At 48.7% G+C, this 8,407-nt stretch overlaps 1 annotated feature.

The window, feature by feature from the left end:
* Positions 6,744–7,244: an enhancer, noted in NCBI's record as "H3K4me1 hESC enhancer chr16:87002635-87003135 (GRCh37/hg19 assembly coordinates)". NCBI's record gives its function as "activates a minimal SCP1, AML or CMV promoter by ChIP-STARR-seq in primed H9 embryonic stem cells {active_cell/tissue: H9 hESC(primed)}" and the evidence as "EXISTENCE:reporter gene assay evidence [ECO:0000049][PMID:30033119]".

Genomic DNA, 8,407 nt, shown 5'->3' with positions numbered 1-8,407 from the left:
TGTGATCCCCCAGGGATCAGAGCAGATCAGTCTCTTGCCCTGAATGAAAAATCAGTCCAAAGATTATTCTCTCCCTCTCTTTTTTGCTTATGTGCAATATCTCTATCATTTCAGATTGGAAGTTACCAAAGTGTTTTGTATGGGTTGTGAGGAGGTGAGAAGAAAAAATAAAAAAGCCATGGACATTTGGGGACTGTGGGCTCACATGGACTTTAACGGCTTTCTTTGCTGCAGAGCTTTTCAGAACCTTTAATAAACTAATCCACATTGACATGTGGCGGATATCACAGGCAGCATTTACTAATTCAAGCAGGGGATTCTGTTTTCCATTCTGTTTGTGGAGTGTATTAGTTAGGATACAAGTCTGGCATCTTGACAAAGACTCAGGTTAACAGTGGCTTGAACCAGACAGACAGTTCTCTCTTTCTCACAGAAGCATCTGGATGCCAGTGGTCCAGGGCTGATGGGGTCTTCTCTACCTGGTGACTCACAGACCTAGGCTCCTGCATCTCCCCGGTGTTAGCCTTGTTGATGTGGGTGATGATGATGACTCATCATCACCACATTTGTGCTCCTGCCAGCAGGAAAGGGCTAAGGGTGGTGGGACCAAGCCAGCTTTCTTGGCCTCCCGTCCATTCACACCCCACAGCCCTTGCCTTTTAAGGATATTTCCCAGGAGTTGGACCCATCACTTCCCATTGGCCAGAATCCAATCACATGACACACCCAGCTGCAAAGGATGCTGGGGGATGTAGTTTTTTCTGGACAGTCATGTGCCCAGCTAAAGTCAAGTGCTCTAACACTGACCACAGCAGGGGAAACAGACTTTAGAGGAAAACTAGCAATCTCTGCTCTATGGGGTTGGTGGGTCATGGAACACAGTTTAGGAAATGGTGTTCTGAGTGTATATAAACCAGATACGCGAAGGACATTGGTGGGAATAGAGGTGCCAAGCATCACTTGCTGAGAATTGGAAAGCCCACTTAGGACACAAGGTTCTTTAAGATGTGTCAGAAATGCATAATTGTACTCTCAAAGGAAGTGAAGATCAGTGGTTGCCCAGGGCTGAGAGTGGGGTGGGCAGTGTGACTGCTAACGGGCATGAAGTTTATTTTATTGTGATGGAAATGTTCTAAAACTAGACCGTGGCACTGGCTGTGCAACTCTGTAAGTATACTAACATTCATTGAATTGTATGCTTCAAATGAGTACATTTTATGCTGTTTAATTATATCTCAATACATCTGTTAAAAACAAAAAAAATTAAAAAGGAGTTGTTTACAATTATAATAAATCTAAAGGACAGATCTTATAGACGAATTTTAAAAATGTATGCATCTAATTGGGTACATTTGAAGCATCTTGACAATCTACCAATTTCACTGTGTTTAGAACAACCACTCCCTGCCTTATCGCCAGCAAAATGACTTGTCTCCAGAGCAGGGGTCAGCACCCTTTCTCTGTAAACAGCCCAATAGCAAATATTTTCAGCTGTGGAGTCATAGGGTCTCTGTTGGGACTATTCAATTCTGCTGTTTTAAGCAGCCACAGACAACAAGCGAGCCTGGCTGTGTGCAGACAAAAATGTATTCTGGATGCTGAAATTTAAATTTCATGTACTCTACACACGTCATGAAATAAAATTCCTGTTTTGATTTTATTGCAATAATTTAGATCTGTGAAAAACGTTCTTAGCTTGTGTGCGGTGCCAAAGCAGTTTTGCAGACACTGCTCTGTGGGTGTGCCCGCACATGGGGGTGCTCTGCCTTCTTTTCTCCCAAAGTGCAGCTAGGAAAACACTCATCAAAGGAGCCAAACCTGTACCAAGTTGACTTTCTGTATCCTTTGTCTGGGCTGCACCAGAAGCTCTGTCAGCAGTTGGGGCTGGGCTCAGCTGGCTGACTCTTCAGCTCTGTGTGGGGTCAACTGGGATCACTCAGTGATGTCAAGCTGATGGCTGGGCTGGGTTGGAGAGTCTGGGGCAGTATCTCTCACAAGTCGGGAGTCCTGGCCTCAGCTGGCCTCCGCCTCCACATAGTCTCAATGTCTCTCCAGCTGCCAGCTGGACTTGTTAATGGCAGCCAAGGGATTTAATAAGTGTTTAGTGAGGCCTGTGGGGAAGCCTCAAGCCTTAGGACTAGCCTCAGAGCCTGCAGCCTCCTGCTGGCCAAGCAAGTCTCTCTGGCCAACCCACACTCAAGGGGAGGGAAATTAGGCTTTGCTTCTAAATGGGATGGGAACGTGTAGCCACCTTAGGAACCCTTCCAGAAAGCTATTCGCTGCTGTAGCTTTTTAAGTGTCTGTGCTGATGCTGCTCTGAAGTGAGGATGGCAGGCTGGGTTTCCAAGACAACCAACCTGTCCTTAAACCCCTGACTGTAAGAGCAGGAGGAAGCTTTGGGCTCACACGTGAAGTCCAGCCTGCTTGTGCCTAGAATGCTGATAGGCTGGGACCCTATCATGCTGGGTGGTATGATGGTCTTCCCAGTTGCTGATGGCTTCACTTAGTTTCCTGTAGCCCTGAAGTGAATCTGTAGGATTCTCTCCAAACACCTAGAGGCACCTGCCTGTTTGGGATCAGGCCTGGTTCTCCACCCTTCTGCTGCTTCTCTGTCGGAGAAGTGTCCCATCCCCATTCTAAAAAATTTAGAGTCAAGTCATTCTTATGCTTAAAAACAACAACAACAAAAGTCAACAAAAATTAACACCTTTCCCTTACATATGTTGCTTTAAAGTTTCTGCATTTTCTTAAAATAAATGTCTTTTCTTGTACTTTAAAATTCATCCTGTGCATTATAGAAAATTAAGAAAACCAAGAACGAGGGCTAAAGAGAAAGGCACGTTGCAGAGAGTGTGGACTCTTCCAGCCTGCTTATGTTGCTGTTGGTCTGTAATTATGGTCTTTCTCCAAACAGAATGCTGCATTAACTGATCTTTTAAATGTGTTTTCGATGTCCTTATGTTTTAATATCCTGAAGTCACCTCTCCTCTTCCTTAGGAAAGAAGTAGTATTTAAACTGATAACAAATACACCAGACAAAATGGAATTCACTGCAGAAAATTAGTTTTGCAGATATCTTCATGAATAAATCCTGAAGCTCCCTTGCTTCATCCCACACCAAGGATGCTAGTGTTGAGTCCATCTGTACTAGGGGCACAACCTCTAAGGGTTCTCGGCATTGACAGCAAGGAGAGACAGATGCAGTCTAGTGTCGCTAGATGAGGCACCCAGAATTGACCTTAAAGGACAGATGGAATACAAATAGCAAGAGGAGAGAAAAAAAGAATAACAGCCATGATAATAATGGAGAAAAAAGATTGTGTATATCATAGGGCTGTTCATTCATTCATTGATTTATTCATTCTTCACTCACTCATTTACCTAGCCATCATCCATCCATTCATCATCTATCCATCTACCATCTGTCTTTGCTTTCATCCATCCACCCACCCATCCATCCATTCATCTATCCATCCATCCATCCATCCACACACCCACCCACCCACCCGCCCACCCAACCATCATCCCCATTCATCCATCCATTTATCTATCCATCCATCCACTCATGCATCTACCCACCCATTCATCTATCCATCCATCCATCCATCCATCTATCCATCCATCCACCCACCCACCCACTTACCCATCCATTTGCCCATCCATCCATCCATCCATCCACTCACGCATCCTTTTGCCCATCCATCCATCCATTCATCTACCCATCCATCCACCCGCCCCTCCCTCCCTCCATCCCTGCATCCATCTCTCCCCCATCCATTAATCCACCCACCCATACCTCCACTCATGCATCCATCCATCTATCCACCCATCCATTTATCCATCCACTCCACCTTCCACCTAGCCACATGACTCACTCCCAACCAAGCTGAGGTTTATACTCATGGGCACCTTAGCAAGGCCTTTTTGTTCACTCTAGAATTTTCAGCTCTCCAGGCCTCAACATTTCATATGTCGCCTCCCAGTTTTCTGTTTTCTTCTTGGCACTTATCATGCTTTAAAACATTTTTTTTTTTTTACTTCTGTACTAATTGCCTTCTTCACCATAATGAGAGGTCAGGGACTTCTATCTTTTCTGCTGTCCTCTAAATCGCAGGGCTTAGACCAGCCTGGCTCATGGGAGGTGCTAAAAAATGTTTGCTGCTGAATCTAGTAAAATCCACCTACTCCATTGATTCTCTGAGTACCTATTGTGTACCAGGCACTGAACTGAGCCCTGCAGCTGCCAAGGTGATGAAGGTTGGAGCTATAGAAACACAGAGAGGGAATGGGAAGGCCTTCTTTGGCAGGGGCACCTTAGCCAAGACCTGGAGGCTAAGTCAAAGACGGGCTAGGGCAGAAGAGTCTACAGAGGCCTCAGGGAGATGTATGGCCAGACCTGGACCTGGGTTGAGAGCAGGTGGGCCTGGCTGGACTGTGGATTGTGAGGTGGGGATGGGTTAGCATGGGGCTGGGGGAAGCTGGTGAGGTCAGCAGAGCAGAGTTCTCTGAAATACAGCTCAGGGGCTGGGGTTGACTTTGAGGGCAGTAGCAAGCTACTGAAGATTCTCCAAGGGCAGGGACATGAATACATGGAGGAGCAATGGGGCCGCAGAAGCAGGACCTGGCATGCAGCAGAGCTCCATGGCCCCTGAGCTCTTCCTGGCTCCCTGCTGTCTTTAGAGGCAGATGTTGCACCAGATGTTCCTGCCTCAGCAGCTTGGGTTTGGCCACATCATGCTGCCTGCTCAGTGGATGGGCCAAACCCCTCCAGTGAGGGCACAGGCTCAGGACCCGCTCTGGGCCTCTCCTCTCAGCCCACTTCCTGCTTCCTGCTTCCGCTAAGCTTCCAAAGGCCTTTTGTCCTCAGTCCAAATGGCCCAGAGGCTGCCAAACAGCTGGGACATGGCTGTGGAAGACCAGAGCCAGAATGAAGTTCATAGTGACGATCACATTTGCCACGCACTTCTCCCGTGCTAAGCATAATGGCAGTTAACCCTGACCGCATTCACGGGGGTAAATGCGATGATTCTTTCCTTCTGCAGATGAGCAAATGTAGCTCCTAGGAGTTAAACACCTCCCCAAAGCTCACGCTCTTGTCTGCAGCAGATGTTGCGTCCCAGCCCAGGCAGGGGGAACTTGGAAGCACTTGCTTAGCCACAGGGCCACCTTGCTTCTGCTCCTTGATGGAGACGAAGACTGTAGACTTGGGTCTGTGACTGTCAAATGGGATTCGGGGCCCAGACCTCAGAGACTTTGCCCCTGGGTGAAGGTGGTGAGTCTGTGTGGAGTGTGGAATCCTCAGCAGAGCCATATGGTGCTGGGAAGAGATGCATGGCAGGAGGAGGCAGTGTGGTCTCATCCGTCTGGATGGAATGATTCCAGAGTCATGCTTGCTCTCCTCCTGGCCAGCACTAGCCCCAGGGGAAGTGAGCCCTGGCATAGGCTCAGTGTCTAGGCCAGGCAGACGGGGCTTCTGTGGGAGATGGGAAGGTGGATGCCAGGAGACCTGCAATTGAGTAAAATCTTTCCTATTTGCCTAAAGAGACCCTCTCTGGGCAAGCCCCCCCAGGCCTTGGGTCAGTCAGATACCACTTCCTTCCACTATCTCTGCTTCTGAGGAATGCCGGATTTGATGTGTTTGGAGGAAGGACTTGTGATACAGACATTGCAGGTAGAGGCAGCCCCTGCCGCAGCTTCACTCAGCAGTGTTGAAACTTCCCCTTTCTTGGAAGTAGGTGGCAGCCCTTGGGGGAGGCCCTGCAGGTGGTTGTGTCAGTGTCCTGGGGCTGTGGTAGCCAATGACCACAAAACGAGAGGCTCAAAACAAACACATTTATTCTCTCACACTTCTGGAGACCGCAAGTCTGAAATCAAGCTGTGCACGGGGCTGCACTCCCTCCAGAGGCTCTAGGGGAAGCTCCTTCCTACCTTTTCCAGTTCTTAGTGGCTCTCGGCATTCCTTGGCTTGTGGCTGCATCAATCCCATCTCTGCCTCCATCATCATCACGTGCCTGTCTCCTCTGTGTGTCTGTGACAGTTTCTACTTCTGTAATAACGATGTGCAACTGGATTTAGGGCCCACCCTAATCCAGTATGATCTCATCTCAAGATCCTTAACCTAATTACATCTTCCAAGATCCTGTTTCCAAATGAGGTCCCATGCAGATTCCAGGGCTTGAACATATCTTTTGGGGGCACCATTCAACCCACTGCAATTGTCTTGGCCAAGCTTTGAGGGAGGGTGGTGCTGAGGGCCTGCCGAAGGCCCAGAGGCCTTGTCCTGCCATGTGGCTCTGGACGAGCTGCAGGCCTTCATGCAGGCTGGAGGCCAGGCTCAGGGCAGCCACCTGGATGTACATCCTCATCACCTAGAAGTCATTGGGAAATACAAATGCCTGGACCCCACCACTCCAGAGCTCCTAAGCCAGGATGCCTTGGAGCTAGGGGTGGGGTGGGGTTGGATCAGGCGTCAGTCAGAGTATGGGTCCTCCAGGTGATGCCACAGCATCCAGGCTTGGGGTGGACACTGGAAAACCCCTTCTCTCAGGCTCTTTTCCAGCTTGGACATTCTAGAATTCTGTGACATGAGGTTGTAGGGTAGACAGAGGTTGTATGTCCCAAGTCTGAAGTCACAGGCTGAGCCAGGACCATGCAGTGTCCTCAGTGCGAAATCTTTGTGGAGGTGCTCGAGTTTCAGTAGGACACGCACATGTCACCCACCCACCATCAAGGGATATTCAATGGGGCTGATCCTTTACGTAGAAGACTCAAAGTTTGCTTTGATTGTCATCAAGTTGGGGTGGACCCCATTGAAAAGATGTTAGATTTCTTAAAACTAGGTAAACAGACCCTGCCAATTCTTTCTGATGTTTTGGCTGAGAGTCTTTGTAGCTTAAAAGAGAAGAAACTAAGGGCTGCTGGAGGATGAAACATGTTTTGCCCCTGTAATAAATGACCTCACATACACTGATGGTGAAAAAATTCTTCGTTTCTCTGCAAAATTTGGAATGTATTTGTGATGACCATCTGGATGCTACACTATTTATGTCATTAGGTATTTGACCACCTGCCCTGAGGAAAGGAGCCCCTGGAATGCGAGGCTGTCTCAGAGAACCTGGGAGCCTGCCCTGTGCTCCAGGGCCAGGCGCCGCTGTGTGGCAGGGCCCCTGGGGCTTGGGAGGAGCTCCACCGGCAAGCCCTGCCCTGACATCTGTTTTAGCTCTCCCACGCAAGTGTCTTTCCTGAGCCTGCCCTCGTGACGGATCGGACCTCGCGTCTGCCCGTCAGTCACCAGACGGCGACTTCACAAATGGTGACTCCAACTGGGGCATCTGAGGCTCCAAGTAATTCACCGCGTCTGGTCATCTCCTCTGTTAATACCGAGTGGAAAAGCTATTTGCAGGGGGGTCAGTTGTGGGGTGGGTGCCTTGGTGGATGTCTGTGACAGTCTGTTGAGAGGTGAAGGCATTGTTAGGGACCATGCCCGTGGCCCCTTTATCATCCTTATTGTGGGTTGTGTTTTATTAAATGGCAGAATGTTCTGTTTTAATGTCTAGATCCCCGTCTTAGATAGTGTGAGATGCTTCCCTTTTCCTCCTAGCACATTCATGGGTTTCTGTTAATAATATGGTACCAGCCCGTTTCTCTGGACTGAATCGTGTCTCCGCCACATTCATACGCCGAAGTCCTCCCCGTAGTGGGATGGTATTTAAAGCGGGAGCTCATGCCAGGAACAGGGCCCTCACCAGTACCTGACCATGTGGCACCCAGACCGTGGACTTCCAGCCTCCAGAACTGTGAGAAGATCAATGTCGGTTGTTGAAGCCACAGTCTCTGGTATTTTTCTTTTATGGCAGCTTAAGCTAAGAAACCTTTCATTTAAAATAAAACTCAGGCTGGGTGTGGTGGCGCGCACCTGTAGTCCCAGCTACTTGGGGGCACTGAGGCAGGGGGATGGTTTAGGCCCTGCAAGTTGAGGCTACAGTGAGCCATCATTGAGCCACTGCACTCCAGCCTGGGAGGCAGAATTAGGCTCTGTCTCAAAAACAAAACAAAACACAAAAACAGAAATGAAATAATAAAATAAAATAAAATGAAATAAAACTCAATTGAGGATGTGAGCAGGTGTTCTCAATCTTGCTGCGCAACAGAATCAATAGGGAAGTGATTAAAACGTAGCAACACCTGGGCCCCCCCACCCCCCACCCCCCACCCCCCGGTAGTTCTGATTTACCTGGTCTTGCACAGGACCTCGGAGGCTTGATACATTCACAAAGCTCCCCATGTGGTTTTAAGGTGCACCTAGGGCGCAGAGCCATTGAGCCCTGCGTAGTGGATGTTTGCTGTGTCCCTCCCCGGCATTCATCCTCCTTCTTTGGATAACATCCAGATTTTCTGGATGGGACTT

This window comes from Homo sapiens, chromosome 16 (assembly GCF_000001405.40).
Source record: "Homo sapiens chromosome 16, GRCh38.p14 Primary Assembly".
Classification (NCBI taxonomy): Eukaryota; Metazoa; Chordata; class Mammalia; order Primates; family Hominidae; genus Homo; species Homo sapiens.
The sequence above is the reverse complement of the archived record's forward strand: the minus strand, read 5'-3'. Positions and strand labels throughout refer to the sequence as shown.